The sequence below is a fragment of the Homo sapiens genome, chromosome 2 (genome assembly GCF_000001405.40).
Source record: "Homo sapiens chromosome 2, GRCh38.p14 Primary Assembly".
NCBI lineage: Eukaryota > Metazoa > Chordata > Mammalia > Primates > Hominidae > Homo > Homo sapiens.
In genome coordinates this window covers 239,168,674-239,188,089 of record NC_000002.12, presented here as the reverse complement: position 1 = coordinate 239,188,089, position 19,416 = coordinate 239,168,674, and the positions used below count along the sequence as shown (strand labels likewise).

The 19,416-nt window shown below is 49.5% G+C and overlaps 1 protein-coding gene across 46 annotated transcripts in view; it reads left to right on the top strand.

Moving 5' to 3' along the window:
* The window catches only part of HDAC4 (histone deacetylase 4), a 353,482-nt gene that overhangs the window by 213,560 nt on the left and 120,506 nt on the right, over positions 1 to 19,416 (top strand). For all 46 annotated transcript variants that reach the window (XM_047446489.1, XM_047446486.1, XM_047446483.1 and 43 more), the window contains one exon: positions 11,527 to 11,677. In XM_047446489.1, the coding sequence (XP_047302445.1) occupies positions 11,527 to 11,677 (151 nt within the window). The remainder of the gene's footprint in view (positions 1 to 11,526; positions 11,678 to 19,416) is intronic.

Below are 19,416 nucleotides of genomic sequence, written 5' to 3'. Positions count from 1 at the left end.
GGAGGTTTCTGGCTGGACCCTGAGGGGCTGCTTGCGGGCTCTGGGTCTTTGGACTTGGCACCGTTGCCTTGGCATTTGTTGGCTTGGGAGTTGTTGCTGCTGCTTTTTCCCAGATGCATGGGCCTGCTAATGTCAGTGTTTGACAAACCAAGGAGAGGACACTTTCCTGAGCTCTTGAAGTCCATGCTTTATCGTTTTTGCCTTCAGATTTCAGAGCGACCTAGCAGCCGTGTGTAACAAACACGTCACTTGTCCCTGTGGAGATTGGCCCACCAGCCTCCACTGGCACCCTGTCCACTTTAACAAGCACACTCGAGTTTAGGGTGGGGCAGTTGAGAGCTCCACAAGCACCATACCCTTTGGGATCCCTGTGATCCTGACACTCCTGGCAGGTGGGACATGAGAGAGGACACAGTCTTCACTTTACTGATGGCACCACTCGGTGCAGTGGACAGGCCAGTCTTGCCTCCCTCACGGCCCTGACCATGGGCAACTGCAGCTGGCCTCTGTTTTTCTGGCCTGGGAGAAGAGTTTTCAAGCTGGCTGCAGGAAACAGGTGCATGCCAGGCAGAAGGCGCGGGTCCGGGGGAGTCACTGCAGGCAATCCCTGCAGCCTGCCCAGGGCTTCAGCTCACCAGCCTTTCCATGATCTGCGAAGAGCAGCCCTCAAGAGGCCACTCGTTTTATTTAGTTTTTGCGCCATAGGCTCACATTCTATGACTCCTAGAAGTAATTTTTTAAAATGAGTACCGTAGCTCCTTCGTATTCTGCATGTTGGCAACCCCACATCAAGCCCGAGGACTCCCTGACAGCAGTCTTGACCCAGGCACTGCCCTGTGCCTCTCAGAAGCCCCCGTCGGCCATTGGTCCCGCCTGCCTCGGGGACATGAGGACCACTCACTCACTCCGGCTTCCCTGCCTTCCTGCAGGCCAACACAGATGCTGGCTGAGGATGGCCTCAGGGGCTCCTGCTGAATTCCATTTTTCCTGTTGTCACTGCACCCTGGTGAGCCCTGCAGTCCTTGCCGTTGATCCACCTGGAGCATTCACAGTGCATGATTAGGACCCCACCCCGAAGCCGCCATGGCTGTCGGTGCAGAGCGAGGTTAAAGAGATGGGATTGCTGATGTCTCATTCCGTGCTGGTTGAATTTGTAGCTTTTACAAGAAGACGACGTAGATGAGAAGCTGAGAAGTAAGCCTAAGCCCCGTGTGTTTGACTGGGGCTCCTCAAGGTAGTCCTAGGAGGCCAGAAGACATAAAGAAGACACTTGAGTTGGGGTCAGTGCTGCCATCTCAGGGTGAGGCCAGGTCTCACCTCCAGAACCCCTCTGCCTCTCCTCTTCTGGTGCCCCAGGAGCTGGCTTCACTGCTTGGAAGAGAGCACCCCGACCCCAGTCCTCACGTCGCTCCTACAGGCCAGGCCTTCAGGCCATGCTCCTCATTCCTGGAGGGGTCCCTGGGAAAGCCCACCCCATCACCCTCTGAGAGATGGCCAGAGACCTTAGAACCATGGCTCTGGAGCCAGTCTCTGGGCCAGGGTCTCAAAAGCACAGAAAGAAGTTCAAGGTTGCCTTTCTCTTTGCATTTTAATCATTTATTTCTTCATTAAAATAGAGATTATAAAAGCCATTTGAACTACATAGTGGTTTCATTACATTAGGAGGCTTTTGTTTGGATGATTTAAACTCTCTTTATAAGCCATCATATTGTTTGTTAGTGACATTTGGCAATAGTGTTTGTCAGACAGATTTCTTGAACACAAAATCTAATTAGTGTCATTAAATCATCAGTGAATTTGAATAGAGTTTTATAATTGAAAAGGGAGTCATTTTTAAAATATAACTTAAATTATTAATGTTGGGTAAATAGGATCTTTTAGGAGAATTTTAATGCTCGTGGTCCCCTTGGACTTTCCGGTTTCCTGGCTGTTTGTGGTGGTTTAGACACAGCCTTGCCTCTCCTTCTCGGATGGTGCTTTTCCACCAAGAAGCGGATCCCAGGTAAGCGTGGAAGTTCTCTCTTGCACTTCTGTGTTTTTGTTTGTTTGTTTTTTGAGGCAGTCTCGCTCAACTGTTGCACAGGCTGGAGTGCATTGGTGCCATCTCAGTTCACTTCAATCTTCGCCTCCCAGGTTCAAGCGATGCTCATGCCTCAGCCACCTGAGTGGCTGGGATTACCAGCATGCACCACCACACCCTGCTGCTAATTTTTGTATTTTTGGTAGAGATGGGTTTTTCCCATGTTGGCCAGGCTAGGCTCGAACTCCTGGCCTTAAGTGATCTGCCTGTATCAGCCTCCCAAAGTGTCAGGTTTACAGGCGTGAGCCACTGCGCCCGGCCTCTCTCTTGCATTTCTGATCAATGCCTCCCAGAAGAATATGGAGAGGCAGGACACAAACATGGATACCCAGAGAGGGTCCAAGGACAGGCCACGAAGCCATGGCTAGAGCATGCTCCAGGCTGGTGAGTGATGGAGCAGGGGCATGTGGGAGACCCCAAGCACAAGACTGGGCCCCGGCACCCACCTCAGGGTGCATCTCTCCCCAGGAGGCACAGGGCACCCCCCACACTGTGCACCTCTCCCTAGGAAACACGGGGCACCCCCTGCAGGGTGCATCTCTCCCCAGGAGGCACGGGACACCCCCACAGGGCACACCTTTCCCCAGCAGTTAGGGTACACCTCTCCCCAGGAGGCGTGGGGCACCCCCTGCAGGGCACATGTCTCCCCACGAGACACGGGGCACCCTTCATAGGGCAGACCTCTCCCCAGGAGATACAGGGCACCCCCTTTAGGGCATTCCTCTCCCCAGAAGACACCGAGGCACCCCTATAGGGCACAACTCTTCCCAGGAGATACAGGGCAACCCCCATGGGGGATACAGGCACCCCATGGGGTGCACCTCTCCCCAGAAGACACTGGGCACTCCTCCCATAGGGCACAGCCTCCAGGGTAGTCACCGAGGGACCCACCCATAGGGCACAGCCTCCAGGGTAGTCACCGAGGGACCCACCCATAGGGCACAGCCTCCAGGGCAGGCACTGAGGGACCCCCCCCATAGGGCACAGCCCTCCAGGGCAGACACTGAGGGATAGCCCTCCATGATAGACACCAAGGGACCCCCCCCATAGGACACATCCTCCAGGGCAGACACTGAGGGACCCCCCACCATAGGACACAGTCTCCAGGACAGACACTGAGGGACCCCCCCATAGGATACATCCTCCAGGGCAGACACTGAGGGACCCCCCACCATAGGACACAGTCTCCAGGACAGACACTGAGGGACCCCCCCATAGGACACATCCTCCAGGGCAGACACTGAGGGACCCCCCACCATAGGACACAGTCTCCAGGACAGACACTGAGGGACCCCCCCATAGGACACATCCTCCGGGACAGACACTGAGGGACCTCCCCCATAGGGTACAACCTCCAGGACAGACACTGAGGGACCCCCCATCATAGGGCACAGCCTCCAGGACAGACACTGAGGGACCCCCCCCGATAGGGCACAGCCTCCAGGACAGACACTGAGGGACCACCCCATAGGGCACAGCCTCCAGGACAGACACTGGGGGACCCCCCCCCATAGGGCACAGCCTCCAGGACAGACACTGAGGGACCCCCCCTCATAGGGCACAGCCTCCAGGACAGACACTGAGGGACCCCCCCATAGGGCACAGCCTCCAGGACAGACACTGGGGGACCCCCCCTCATAGGGCACAGCCTCCAAGACAGACACTGAGGGACCCCCCCACCACCATAGGACACATCCTCCAGGACAGACACTTAGGGACCCCCCCATAGGGCACAGCCTCCAGGGCAGGTACAGGGCACCTTTTGTATGTAGGTTGCACATCGCCCTCCTGCAAGGCTTACCCTCTCTCCCTGCACTGGTGTAAGGCGTGCCTTTTCTTCCCTAACTTCAGCCTATTCCCAGTCGAATGCATGAAGAGTAAAAATCATTTACACACTGTTTTAGTGGCATGTCTTTTTTTTTTTTTTTTTTTTTTTTTTTACACTAGCAAGGCTGGCCTCTTTTTCGTGTGCTTGTGTGTGTGTGTGTGTCCATGTGACTTGTGCTATGGAGAGCACAGTGGATAGGAGAGAGTTTTCAGAGCTGTTTAGTTGATAGTGTGACTCTTCCTTTCAGGGAGGAACTAACACGGAAAGGAACCTAGTTTTCTGGCACTGGGAGCGTGGGTCATGATCCTTATTCTCTTTAATACCTGGCCGAGGAAGGTGAAGAGATGTTGCCCAGGCCCAGCTTTCTGGTCACCTGAGGCAGCTGTCAGTGAGCATTAGAGCTCACCTGAGCTGTGCCGAATGCCTGATCCAGGGCTCTGCGCCAGGACAGGGGTGCGGTGGGGAGGCAGGGGGCAGGAGCACACTCTTGGTTTGGAGCAGAGTCCCTCTGTGGTGCCTCTGGGTGAAGGTTAAGAATAGACGGGAAGACCTCGTGCACACCTTTGCTTAGCATGAGCTGCCTCCCAAGCTAGGCAGAGGCACATGCACGTGGCAGTGGGCAGTGGGGCCAGGTGACACATAGGGCACGTGGGCACACACCTGGAGAGCCATGGATGCCGTGGCCCTACCCCAGCTGGTCTGCACCTGGTGTTCCCATCCATGGGCGGCAGCTTACCGTCCGTGGCGTCCATTCTGCCGCCCTTTCCTCCTGGCCCCTGCCGCTTTATGCGGGCGCGGCATCTGCCCACTCTGGGGCTGTTCCCCTGGCAAGTTGAAAAAGAGACACAAGAAAGTCAAGAGTTTCGTTTTAAAAGTGAAAATCTTTTTGGGTTACCACTTGAATATTTGTATATTAAATTCTGAAGTCAGAGTCAAAGCAGCTAAATTCTGGGGCTCCTATATTTGGTTCAGAGTTCAGTGTACGCTTAACGTAAACTTAAAGTCTGGTTAGAGTAATAGGATCAGCTATGATTGGTTTTGTTTTTGCTTTTCTTAGAAGAATGAGGTCGTAGTCATCTTATTTTAAATTGCTCATTATAGTTTCAGTCTGCAAAAAATTGCTTCCCAACAGCCCTTGCCCCATGGAGTAGTCTGACGTGTAAAGTTAGCGAGGGACTAGTTGCAGACAATTTTAGCTAACTTAAAAATAAGCGCATCTCAAAGTCCTGTTTTTCGAAGCCTGAATTTGGTATTCCAGTGACGCACCTGCCCTCCAGAAGCCAACTGAGGGTTCCCATGGAGAATAAGTACCTATTCACGATGCTAGGATGTGGGGCAGGAGTGAAGAAGAGTGAAATGGCCATCTTCCCTTGTGGTTCCAGCATTTTCCGAGCATGCCGAGGGCAGAGGGTCCCTGTGTCTTCTTTGAAGATCAAGAAACAGGCCTGACGTCTCAGCTTGTGCTATGAACAGGGAGTGTTGAAATCCAGTTTGTCCTGATGGCTTTCACTTTGCAGGCTTTGCTCTACAGATAATCTGTTATAAATCTAATAAGGTGGAATGCCTCCCTACAAGTAGCGAAGCCGAGATCACACAGCGTTGCCGGGGGCAGGTAGGGAATCAGTCACTGTTTGTGACTGCTGGTTTCATTAAAACTCCACCACAGTCATGTTTCTGGGAGTTTTGCCTTCCTGTGAATTTTAATCCCCAGCAGCCATGGTTGTTGCTTTCATTCTTTTTGAAATGATGGTGGAAAGAGCTCACTTTCCCTCTGGGTTCTGGCTGACAAGTAGATACTGTGAGACTGCATTAGGCTGCATCTGTCCGCTCTGCGTTTCCGCCCTGAGTGAGCTCTGAGCAGCGGGAGGGAGGGAGCCAAGGGGCCCTGTGCAGGTGACAGCCAGAGGGGAGGGGCTCGCCATGACGAGGAGATCAGTTCAACAAAGGACTGTGTTTGTTTTCTGAGCTGAGAAGCACCCCGAAGCCCTGTGGGTTGTATGTTTATAGGTTAACCTGCTGGTGGCATTCCCAATCTGCAGACAGTGTGGCCCAGGGATGCTCTCGGGGCACCTTTCCCTGTGTACACAGCTCCGGGTCCCCAGGGCAGAGTCCTGAATCTGTACATGCCCAGATGTTTGTCCTGGTAGAGGGACTTTGCTTGCATGTGGCGGCAAGGAACACCGCGTTAGGAAGGTGTGCTCCAGGTAGTATCTCCCTAGCCTTGAGGGGGCCTGATTTTACCTTAGGATATTTAGTGTCTGCAGGAAGTCGGCGTCTCTAGGCGACATCTTTCAAAAGTGACGGTTTGATGACAATCAGGCCGCACGGAGGCAAGCCCAGACCAGCTCTTCTGAGTGTTCTCCCCATGCCACCTCTTCCAGTCCTCACAGGAACCCTTGGGGGCAGGTGCCACATTTAACCCAGCACGGAGAGGTTAAATATTTAGGTGCAAGTGCGCTGGCAGCAAGCAGGTGGGTGGAGCAGGTTTTATCAGCCAGGCAGCCTGGCCTGGGCACTGCCCTCCAGCCAGCGTGCTATGGGCCGCCTGTGAGTCTTCGGAGGCCAGCGCTGCCCTGATGAAGGACACGGCAAGAGCTTGCTTATGTTTATCCCACCATCCCCAAGAAGTTCATTTAAGTTGGTTGTTCGGAATTAAGTTTTTGCCATGGGAAAGATACAGGTGAGATGCTTGGTGTGTGCAGCTAGCCCTGACGGCCCTCCCTGCCCCTCCTGCGCACACGCTGCTGCCGGGCGTGGTGGGTGCCCCCTCTCCCTCGGCCCACCCAGGCCTCCTGCCTTGCCTGTGCCCACACATCTGCCAGGAGCAGCACCCCTGCTGGAAGGCAAGCCTGCATTGCACCTGCCTGGGTAGGGTCTTGCCTCAGCCCCTCCTCTCCTCCCTCCTTCCTTGGGTGTGGGCCTACCTCCTGCCACCTCTGCAGCTCTTCTATCCCCGTGCTCCTGGCTGGAATTGAGTCCCACCCCCCTTGTGAGGGCTGTAGGTGGGTGGGCGTGTTTGTGGACAGGGCTTTTCATCTGTGAGGAGAGCCGGCAGGTCCTGTCCCCAATGTCTGGATGCTGATCTGCTCTCTCTGCTGCTGTAAATCCTTGCTGTGTGTGACCACAGGTGTGACTGGGCAGACCTGCCTAGAGCCCGAGGTCCCACTGCCCTGGACTCCAAGCGATTCCTGTGGGGCTCTGCCATCCAGGCCACTTCCGCTGCCATGGGACAGTGGACGGGGAGGCTGGCTGTGGGCTGCAGGCTGCAATGACCCAGCCCAGGTGGGCCGGGAAAGACCAGCGCTGTGGTCTCCGTCCTGGAGGCTGGGGCAGCCTCAGTCCAGAGCTATCTGCTGGGGTCACTGCAATGGGGCAGGCGGTTTCTGCCTGGGGACTCTTCCTCGGGGTGGGCCATGGGGGGCAGCGGCCCAGCACACCCTTCCATCCACATGGGGCACTCATGAGGGGCAATCATGTTCATTTTGCTTGTTCACTGCCAGCGCCAGTTTGAGGTTGCCGAATGCCATTTGGTTGGCCAATGCCTGTCTCTGTCCCTTGTCTGGGCTGGGGGCTTTACTTACAGAATGGAAGAATGAGGAGTTTTACCTTACAAAATTACACAGTTGATGTTACGTTTAACATCGTGGACACAATGTGATTCAAATTTCACACAGGTCACAGACATGCGGGGTGACTGGCATGTCTCATCTTGAGTAGGAAGAGGCTGTGAGCAAGCTGAAATCCTTTCTTCCCTATTTACAAGTGGTTCTGGGTGGTCGTGGAAACCGGCTGAGTCCTCAGCAGTGGGAAGCGAGGTCCAGGAACGGGATTGATGCCCTGGTGAGGCCATTCCTCATCCCCTGCACCGCCTGTGACCATGAAAGGGCTTGGGCCAGGCTGTTTTTGCAGGCTGGATCTTCCCAGAAGCCTAGGGGTTGGAAAGGTGTGTGTGCTGGGTGCCCGGGGGCTGAGCTGGACCTCCAGGCTCTCGCAGGAGAGGGTGTGGTGGCCACCTGGAAGCTGGCTGTGCAGGGGCAGCAAGGGTGTGAAGCTTGCCAGTCGGCTCGGGCCTCTCATGTGAAGAAGGACCCAGCAAGATGCAGGAGATGTTCCCGGACACACACCGCCTGCCCCCGTCACCTTGCCAACGCCGCTGAAGGTTGGCGCCCACAGAGAAGGGCAGCGCCCTTGCACGCTCACAGTTACCTGGAGCACACATGCTCAATCCCACGCGCTCACTCACATTCAGAACGCACACTTGGGTGCACAAGCACGTTGATGTGCAGGTTCCTCCGTGCGGGCAGCCCTGTTGTCTTGGAGCAGCGAGCCCTGTAGCAGAAGGCTTGTGCCGCCTCCCACCCTGAGCACGCCGCGTGGGCTCTCAGGCTGTGGCACCTCAGGGACCCAGCCCCCCATCCCTGCTGGCCCTACTCTGTCGGGGTTGCCTCTGCCCGTCCGATGTAATCCTTTTCATCTGCTTTCCTACCCCTCAGCCACTTTTCATTTTCCTTTGTTATCACCTCTTGCTCTGAAGTGATGCGCATTTGTTGTAGAGCGGCAATCGGTCCCGACCTTTTTGGCACCAGGGACCGGTTTCGTGGAAGATGGTTTTTTCTGTGGACAGGGGTGGGGGACGCAGGAGAATGGTTTCGGGATGAAACTTCCACCACCTCAGATCATCAGGCGTTAGATTCTCATAAGGACCATGCATCCTAAATCCCCCACACGCACAGTTCACAACAGGATCACACTCCTGTGAGAATCTAATGCCACCACTGATCCAGCAGGAGCTTGAGCTCTGGCGGGAATGCTCCCTAGCCTGCCACTTACCTCCTGCTTTGTGGCCCATTTCCTAACAGGCCAGGGACTGCTGCTACCCGTCCACGGCCGGAGGTGGGGACCCCTGTCGTAGAGGGATTGAAGAATACACAGGGACGACAGTGTGACGTGGGTGGCATCCCATGGGCGCCAGTCCTGCTGTGCCAGCGCAGCCACTCATGGAGCACAGGCATCCAGTGGCTGCCTCGCACGCACACCCCACTCTATGCCTCAGGCGTCCGGTGGCTGCCTCGCACGCACTCCCCACTCTATGCCTCGGGCGTCCGGTGGCTGCCTCGCACGCACACCCCACTCTATGCCTCAGGCGTCCGGTGGCTGCCTCGCACACACACCCCACTCTATGCCTCGGGCGTCTGGTGGCTGCCTCGCACGCACTCCCCACTCTATGCCTCGGGCATCCGGTGGCTGCCTCGCACACACACCCCACTCTATGCTTTGCTCATCCTTTCCCTGGCCTGAGCCTCATCCTCCAGGAAGAATCACCAGCTGGTGGAAGCCCCACTCTGGAGCCAGCCCGGAGCCCCTGATTCACTAAATTTCCTCCACAGAAAGTTCCTCGGGCCACTCTGGTTGCCAGGATGCCTGCTTATCCCGTACCCTCTCACCGTCCCCTCTTCCTCCATAAGGGGAGCAAGACCAACAAAAAGCAACCCACCAGTGGCCGGGTGAGGCAGCTCACGCTCGTAATCCCAGAGCTTTAGGAAGCTAAGGCGGGAGGATCACGTGAGCCCAGGGGTTTGAGACCAGCCCCAGCAACAGAGCAAGATCTTGTTTCATCAAAAAAGAAGAAAACGTATCTGGGTGCAGTGGTGTGCACCTGTAGTCCCAGCTACTCAGGAGGCTGAGGTGGGAGAATGGCTTGAGCCCAGGAGTTCGAGACCAGCCTGGGCAACATAGCAAGACCCCTTCTCTACAATTTTGTTTTTTTAATTAACTGCCATCTATTTGGGAGTCTGAGGTAGGAGGATCACTTGAGCCCAGGAGCTCAAGCTTACAGTGAGCTATGATTGCGCCACTGCACTCCAGCCTGGGCAACAGAGCGAGACCCTATGTCTAAAATAAACAAGACACTGGGACAAGAGACAACTGGTAACGGAACAATCACTGGGGACAGCAGACAGACCATGACCGGGACACGTGCGGCCACAGAGGGTGGCAGAGAGGCTCTCCCAGGCAGGCAGGTGGCAGAGCTCCTCACACCTGTGGAGGCCTGGCACTTCCCCCGGGCTGGCCCAGGGGTTTGTGTGGAAGCCGAGGAAAGTGTGTGCAGACAGAACCCTGGAGCATGCGAACGAGAGCGGAGCCATCTCAGAGGAGCGGAAGGACGTGCGGGAGCCCTGGAGCCTGGGTTGGGTCCCAGGACAGAGGTGCTCTGGGTTTGCGGGAGTCCCTCTCAGGGCGTCTGGTCAGTTGCACCTTCCCACACTCGTCAGCGCCAGGCCAAATTGTTCCTTTTCACCTTTTCCGATACCGTGAGTGAAATGGGAAGTGTTCACTAGTGAGCTTGAACATTTATCCCGATTTCTTTTTAAACAGTTCTTCTGTGCATCTTGTTCTTTTCTGCCCAACGTTTTAGTGGGCTGCCTGTCATGTTCTCATTAATGGATAACAACCATTTATATAAAATTTGTATGTCATAAATACTGCAGTTTTTCTTTTACCTTCTGCCTTTTGTTATTAAGACAAACATTTTATGTCGACGTCAGTTTTTGAAATATGAGATATAATTTATACTCGGTAGAATGCCAGCCCTTAAGGGTGCTGTTGGGTGGCTGTGCCCTTCCCTGTAGACAGTCAACAGGTCGGACACTCCACCCGCTGGGGCGTTTCCTCCGGCCTCGGCACCCCCAACCCTACCTCACCCCCGCAGAGGCAGCCTTCTTCTGATTTTCATCCTTGTGCGTTAGTTTTTTCTGTTTTAGGGCTTCATGTGAATATAGTCAGCCCTCCATATTTTTGGGTTTCACCTCCACTGATTGAGCCAGCGGAGGATCAGAGCCTGGAGACACTGAGGGCCAACCACCCGTATTTCCACACCAGGCTGTGGTGGAATGTGCGGATCTGGAGCTGCAAGTGCAGAGGCTCAGCGGAGGGTCTTTCAGTCTTGCCTCTTCTCTCTGCTCTTTCACCCTCTGCCAACACCTGCTGTTTAGCAGTTCACCTGTGTTTTCTTGTGTACACGTAGGTTGTTGTTTTTTATGGTTAGGTGGTATTCTCTTTGATGAACACACATCATTTCTCCAAGTGTCCACCTTCGAGGGAACATGTGGGTTGCATCAAGGCTGGTCTGTGACCAGAGCTCCCATGCACATTCTTGTACAGGCTTTTTGTGGGTGTGCTTCCGTGTTTCGGATAAATAGCTAGGAATGGGATTGCTGGGTCTCGGGGCAGATGTGCATTTAACTTTATAAGGAAGTGCCCAGCAGTTTTCTGAAGTGGTTGTACCATTTCACGCTCTCTTCACTGTCTTTGTGTCGTTCTCAAAATAGCATTTCCAACTTGCAAGATAACATAACTCTTCTTGCGTATTTTCTTCTAGCAAGCCAATGGCTTTTGTTTTTAATGTTTTCCACTTCGAAGGTAAGACAATGCCCAGAGCCCGGAATGGCCCTGACTTCTTTTTTTGGACTGAAATAGCAGCAGTGCAGGGCAGGGCAGTGCCCAGGGCCACACCAGGGCAGACGTGTAGGGCCTGGGCTGGTTTCTTGGGTCTTCATTGGGTCTCTGTGTGTGTGTGGAGCCTGGGCTCTGACCGTCTGTCTCCTCCTTCCACTTGCAGCAACAACAGGAGATGCTGGCCATGAAGCACCAGCAGGAGCTGCTGGAACACCAGCGGAAGCTGGAGAGGCACCGCCAGGAGCAGGAGCTGGAGAAGCAGCACCGGGAGCAGAAGCTGCAGCAGCTCAAGAACAAGGAGAAGGGCAAAGAGAGTGAGTGTGGGCACGGAAGGCCAGGCAGAGGGAGGGAGGCCGGGCAGAGGGAGGGGTGCGGGCACGGAAGGCTGGGCAGAGGGAGGGAGTGCGGGCGCAGAAGGCCGGGCAGAGGGAGGGAGGCCGGGCAGAGGGAGGGAGGCCGGGCAGAGGGAGGGGTGCGGGCACGGAAGGCTGGGCAGAGGGAGGGAGTGCGGGCGCAGAAGGCCGGGCAGAGGGAGGGAGGCCGGGCAGAGGGAGGGAGTGGGGGCATGGACTCCGGAAGGTGAGGGGCAGAAGGAGTGAGTGCAGGAGGGCACTGGGGCAGCACACGGGGAGTAGGGAAAGATCTAGGGGCAGCTGAGCCTCACCATGGTGACTCTTGCCACTTTGCCTGTGCTGGGTTTCTAAGAAGCAGGCCAGGAATGGGACCCCCACCCCCTGACAGGGACAGTGAGTGTGACAGTGTGTCAGCCCACCCATGGTTAGCTCCCCCAGTGAACCAGAGTCCATGGATTTATCTTCATCCAGGGCTGCAGGATTCAATATTAACATCAAAGCAAGGGGCATTCAGCCCGACTTTTGGTTTGATTTAAACATTTTAAAGACTATTTGGCAGGATTCCTAATAGACTTAAAAATATTAAAAGCCATAAAGCATGCCAGATGCACAGTGAATTTCATCTGTGAGTTCTGCCCTGCATTTTTCAAAGTACTTTTCTTTCGGGAGCATTTTATAAGTGCCTTCAAAGCAGGTGTGAGGTTGTAGAGTGACCCACGGCCCAGTGAGGGCCAGCAGCGTGCTCTTGCTATCTGCTCCTTCCACTCTGAATTTTGCCTTCTGTGGGGGCTGTGTTTGTACATCTGGAGACCAGCATGGTCTGTTTTCTTCTAAGGAGAGCCCACACTTCATACTATCCAGGAGAACACTGTATTTGCTGTTTCCCACTTTGGACAGTTAGAGGGACGCATCTACTGAGGAAAAGGTAACAGTGTCGCCCCTGCTGACTGTGGGCTGCTGGGACGATGACCCGTGGGCTCCTCTGCACGAGGACGGTGCCCAGCGTCGCCAGTGTGTCTGAGCCCTGGCGTGTCCCCGGGGTGCAGGGTCCACCGTGGGGCTGAGTCAGCTCTGAGCATCCTCTCAGATCTTCACTTAAAAGAGCCCTTGGCTCACTGTGTGTTTATATCCTTTCCATGGACAACTTCTTGTTTTAAGTGACACAGACAGTCAGGATCTAATCACCAGAGTGAAGGGACTTTCATAGACACTCCGAGTTTCTGCCCAGGACTTACATGCTCAGTTAAATTTGTCTGTTCCCTGGTAATACTGAAAAGGAGTCGAGGTATACATTTTCCTCAGGTAACAGGATTCCAGGTAAGGAGAGTAGAGGGATTTACTCTTGTAGGGCTGGCCCATGAGTCAGAAGAGAAGTCCTTATGCACTTCCCCCTTCCCCAAAGATAACTCCTCTCCTGATGTTTAACATGGAAGATTAATTTTGCCTGCTTTTGAAATGTATGTAAATGGAACCCTTAATATGTAGGATTTTTGCGTTTTGCTTCTTTCTGTGGACATTATGCTTGTGAAATTCATCCCCATTTTGCATTTAGCAAGAGGTCATTCATTATCTATTATATATTGCTGCATGGTGTCCCATTTATAAATGCACCAATGTAGTCATTTCTTCTAAAGTTGTTAGATATTTGGCTTGTTTCCTAACCAGAGCTATTAAAAGCAGTATTGCTATGTGCATTCTTGTACATGTTTCTTGGTACATGTGGGCAAATGTGAAGTGGAGTTGTTGAACTTTGGGGCATGCATGTTGTCAGTGTTCATACGTGATGCCCAAAAGTTTTCAAAGTAGTGTACCAGTTTACACTCCTACCAGCCATGTACAGGGGTTCCTGTGGCTCCATGTCCTTGTCAACACTTGCTGCTGTCAGTCACTTTAATTTCAGCTCCTCCTCATGCCCTCAGCTACATTTCTTTGATTACCAATAAGATAGTTTATTTTCATAAGTTTTTTTTGCCGAATGAATATTCCCCTTTTTGTGAAGTGCTTGTTCCAGTCTCTTGCCCATTTTTCTGATGCGAGGTCTCCCTTTTTCTTGATTTGGAGTTGTTCTTTATATATTATGGAATCAACCCTTGGCCAGTTGTACATGCTGTAAATCTCTTCTTCCACTCTGTACTTTGCCTGTTCACTCTCTTAATGTTATCTTTCAGGCACAGAAATTCTCCCTTCTAATACAGTTTCAGTCTTTTCCTTTAGATGATTTTGTGCCTTAAGAAATCTTTCCTTTCTTCAGAATCTTGGATACATCCTCTTTAATTATCTCCTAGGAGCTGATTGTACCTGGAATTGATACTAGTGGGGTTTTGTTTGTGATTGCATTGACTCTGTGGTTCAAATTAGGAAGACCTGATATTTTTACAACATTGATTATTTACCTTCTTTAATTTTTCTTAATAATTTCTTAATAGTTTTATGTTTAGGAGGCTTGCATATATTTGATTAAATATATGTCAAGCCATTTGATGGCTTTGGTTGCTATTGTGAATGGCTTGGTTTTTATAATTTTGAAAAGCAGTCAGTTTTTGACCATTGACTTTGTGTCCAGCAACCCTGTTAAACTCAGATATCCTAATCATTAATAGATTGTTTTGAATTTTCAACATTTAGAATCCTGTCATCTATAAATAATGAGAAGATTGCCTCTTTTCTGATTGGAATACCTTTTATGTCTTTTACTTGCTTATTATATAGAATGGGCTGAGATTGCCAATATAGTATCAAATTGTGGTCCTGATGGCAGGAACATTTGTCTGGTTCCCAGTTTACTGTTAGGTGCCATGTTTTCTGTAGGGGCTTTGTATTTTTTACTCATTTGTCTACTTGTTTTTGACAGGTGCTATTTATCAGATCATGGAAGTTTCCCTTCCATTCCTTGTTTGCTCGGGGTTTCAATATGAATGGATATTGATTTTTGTCAGGTGCTGTTTCAGCATCTTTTGAGATGATTGTATGATTTTTTGGCTTTATGTGGTTAATGAAGTAAAGCATATGGATTTATTTGAATATAAATTCTAACTGGCATTTTTAAAATAACCCCAGTCAACTTGATTGTAATATATTATCTTTTATGTAGTGAAAACTTGGATTTGCTAACATTTTATTTTGTATGATTGCAACTGTGTTCCTGAGGGAGATTGCCAAACAGTTTCCTTTCTCATAATGTCCTCGTCAAGTTTTGGTGTCATGACTGTGCTGGCCTCAGAATGAGTTAAGCATCATTCCTCTCTCCTTTTGTATTCTCTGGCAAAGTTTATTTAACATGGATATTACTTTTTCCATAAATATCTTGTGAAACTTACTGCTAAAGCCATCTTAACCCTAAGATTTCATTTGTGCAAAGGTTTTTGATTACTTATTCAATTTTTAAAATAGTTCCTGGGACATTTTTCCCCCCCGGCTCACTTTAGCTAAGTTGTATTTTTTTAAAAGAAATATATGCCTTTGTTATACATTTTTGTATTTTTGACTTAGTGGTTTTTGGTGTCATGTCCTTTTCTGGTGTTTTTTATGTCTGTCAGACCTTTAATGATGTCCTCTTTTACACTCCAGATATTGGTTGTTTGTGCTTTTTCTCTTTATTGCTGCTGTTTTGTTTTGCTTTTGTTTTTCTTGGTCACTCTCTCCAGAAGTTTATCAGTTATTCTTTTCAAAGACTAGCTTTTGACTTTATGGATGTTGTTTGTTGAATATCGATTTCATTAATTTCTAGTATTTTTATTTCTCTATGTTCTGTTTTCTTAGGGTGTATTGTGGTTTTTGTAGCTTTTTGATATAGATACATAGAGCATTGATTTCAGCTCTGTCTTCTAACATATGCTTATATAGCTATACATTTTCCTCTAAATGCAACTTTATCTGCATCCCACAAGTTTTGATACGTAGTTTGACAATCTTTGTCTTTCAATTAGTTTGGCCCATTTACATTTAATGTAATTATTGATATATTTATGCTTAAATCTATCATTGTACAATATGAATTATAATTATCTCAACTATTCTAATGCACTTGTCTTGCCTTTAGTGTATGTTTTTAGTGATATATATATATATATATATATATATTTTTTTTCACCAGCTTGGTAATCACTATTTTGCTGTTTCTTTACTGATTATCAGTAGGATTTCAACAACTGTCTTTAATCTATCACAGCCTTATCTAAATTAATACTTTTGCCAATTCTGGCAAAGTAAGGGTCTGGGATACTTTAACTCTTAATTTATATACTATTTTGACCTGTATTTAACTCTAAACTTATCTTTAACATCACAAGACATTGTTGTTATTATTTTATATAGTCAAGATTTACTCATAAATTTATCCTTTCCACTTTTATTAATTTCTGCATGTCTGAACTTTCATCTGTGATATTCTTTGTTTACCTTAATGTGGGTCTAATGGTGATGAATTTTCTTTCTGTTCAAAATGTGATTTCAGGTTAATCTTTGAAGGTTATTTTTGCTGAGTATAGAATTCTAGGTTTGTATTTATTTTCTTTCAGCACTTTGAGAATGCCATTCCATTCTCTTCTGACTTCCATTGTTAATCTCCAGAAATGAGCTGTCCATCCTATTGTTCCTTCTTTGGAAATAATCTTTCTTCCCTAGCTATTTTTAAGATTTTGTCTTTGGTTTTTTGAAGTTCTTCTTTAATGTGCTTAACTGTAGTTGCTTTCATTTTAATGTCTTCTTTTTGGGATTTGTAATTCCTAAATCTGTTGTTTTATACTGTTATGAATTCTTAGACCTGATTATTCTCAAACTTCACCTCAACAGATACTGACTTTGCCCCAGTCTCTCCATTTAATCTATCTGGGATTTAGTTATACACCTGTGTTGGATTAGCTTTCAGTATCCCCTAAGTTTCTTAAGTTATTTTTGTGTCTTTGTTTCCTTTTTCTTTTGCCTCAGTGTGGGTATTTTCTTCCAATTTATCATCCACTTCCCTAATTTGTGCTTTACCTGCACAATAATCTGCTGTTAAACTCATCCATTGGATTTTACATTTATTTGGTTTTCAGTTCTAGGATTTTCATTTGGCCCTTTTTCATAGTTTTCCATAGACTTTCTTGATCTTATTTTTTTCTGCACGTAGTGCAGTTATTTTGGAGTCTGACTGGTAACACTCTCTGGCCCTGTGGCAAGGCTTTCCTGCCTGTTGTTTCTCTCATTTTTTTTTTTTTTTTTTTGGTCAGATTGTGTTTATTTCTATGGTTGGATATTTTAGGTTGCATGTCTGACTTTGCACTGTTGTGATGATGGGGGACCTGGGATGGTGACACATTCTTTTCGAGTGGACTTTGTTTTCCTTCTTGCAGTTGACCAGAAGTGGCCAAGTTTCTTAAGCATCTGAATGCAGTCAGGTCTGGAGCTGATTCTGAGTTGGGTTTCAGGCCTTCAAAGGCCTGGTGGATTTCTGGCCATCGTTACTCATAAGGCATATCCCTTTGAGGTCCTACGCACAAGCTCATGAGGTTTATTGGGGTCCTTTAATTTTCCTCAGTTTTTGTGGCCCTATCAAGGGCCTCTTCCGAAACCCACTGTTGAGTCTAGAGAACAGGCTACCCGAGGGTGGGGTCCTGCTCCCCGCGGTCCCTGTTTCTGACCTCGGCCCTGGTGTTCCATGCTGCCCTAGTTGTTCTCTGTGCCTTCACACAGAAGGCTAGGGTGCTTTGTCTAGATCTTCTGACCATTTCCAGTAGGTTTAATTGAATTACCTGAATAAAAATTCTTGAAGTTACATTATTGAAAACACCATGTGCTTGGAGTACTCCAGGTTTCCTAACCTGTTCTTTATACTGTTTATGTTCTTCGTTTTGTCTGGAGTGAAAGGATATGTTAATATTTGGTGTGTTTGGTGATTTGCCTTCATATAATTTTTAGATTGTGAAATTGGCATTTTGCTTTTAATTAATCTGCACTAGATTTGAAGTTTTTCCAAATAGGACATTTTTGTTCATTTGTTTGTATTTGAAATCCTTGTGTTCTAAAAAGAATTAAATAACTATTAAGTAAATTCAGTTTGTAAGTTTATTTTTAATGTAATGAATGTTATAACTAATGCTAAATTAGAATTGGGATATAATCTAAACTGTATTATTATGCCTATATTATGTTGTACATTTTTATAAATATTTGCTATTTCAGACTAGATATATTTTTCCTAAGAGTACATAGCTAATGCACTCTCTGAGTTTTTAGTTTATTCCTCTATTTAGCTATTTCCAAGTTCTTAGTAATTGTTTTTGTCCATAAAACTAACACTTTTATCAATTATCACAGCATTTTACTCTTGAAATAATAAATGCACTTTAAATGTTTTTTCACTTTAACTGGTAGAATTTCAAGGTAGAAGGCCTCTGAGGAGGGTTTATATTCCATTGTAGGTCTAATTTTTGCATCAGGATTTGAAAGTGAGTACCAAATCTGCCTGATGGCCCTGGCTCCTGGCACATTGATTAGATAAGGTGGTGACTTAATCCCCAGGGATTGCCCACAGGGGAGCGCTTCCAGACATGGCTGCAGAGGCCTTGAGGAGACGGGGCGGCATAGGGGAGAGCTTCCAGACATGGCTGCAGAGGCCTTGAGGAGAAGGACCCTGCAGACAGGGCTGCACACACGCACGCCTGGTCTTTGCATGCAGATCCGGGCCCTCTCGGTAGTGGACGGCTGTGCTGTGGGTCTCTGTTCACTCCAGGGTGTTCTGCCAAACTGATCCCAAGTGGAACCCGGCTGGCAGTGTTCTTGCTTCTGAAGCTGCCTAGTGCGTTGCCTGGGTTGAGGACCAGGAGCGCAGCTGAGCCCTCTGGCTTCACGTGTGAGGAATCTGAGTATCTTAGGGGCTCCACGGCCTGCTGGGCGGGGCCCACCCTGTGGGGTTGCTTTCCACTTTAGAAAGCTGCCTTCCGTAGACAATAGCACGCGGTCCCCGTGGGAGCCCTGTGCGCGGGGCTTTGACTTGTCTGGCCTGTGCTGGTGACGCTGCAGTGCAGGAGGCGTGCGTGGGACCCACATCGCGGGTGTGCGCCACGGGCCCAAGCACTGGGGCCTCTGCCTGGGGTCCGGCCTCCCCTCCACGCTTCTGTGGTTCGCCGGTAGCCCAGGGTGTATCCTATGTATTTTTCTTTGGAGTAGGGAAAATAGTTGCTTATCAAAGAATTGAAGTTTAAAATTTAAATATCAGCTGGGTGATTTGTGCCACAACTAACCAACAAATAAGAGTTTTTCAGATTGCTAAAAAGCAGCTTGGTCTAAATTACTTCCTCAGAGTTTACCAGACTCTTCCAATAAAAATACCATCTTGAGGCTCACAGAATATGAAAAGACTTCACTTCAGAAAACATTTTGGATCCGTTTACCAGCCCAAAACAATCCCTGCGCTGCATCCGAAGCGCCGTCCACCCTTAACTGGAGCTCTGGAATGTTCCTGCTCCCCTCTAGCCCCGTCACAGGCGGCCGTCCCGGTGGTTTTCACTGAGGATTTGGGTGGTCAGATTTTATTATTAATAATAAACTGTGTACAGTTGGGTACTTGGCAAGCTTGTGTCGGCTCTGCAGCCCTCAGAGTGTGGTCTTGTGGTGAGGACGCAGGGCCGCAGGCCCCTGTGGTGGACGCCACTCGGGGGCTCTTATGTAAGCGGGGCCCAAGCCGGCGTCTTCCCCCATGAAGGAGGTTCTTGTCTGTG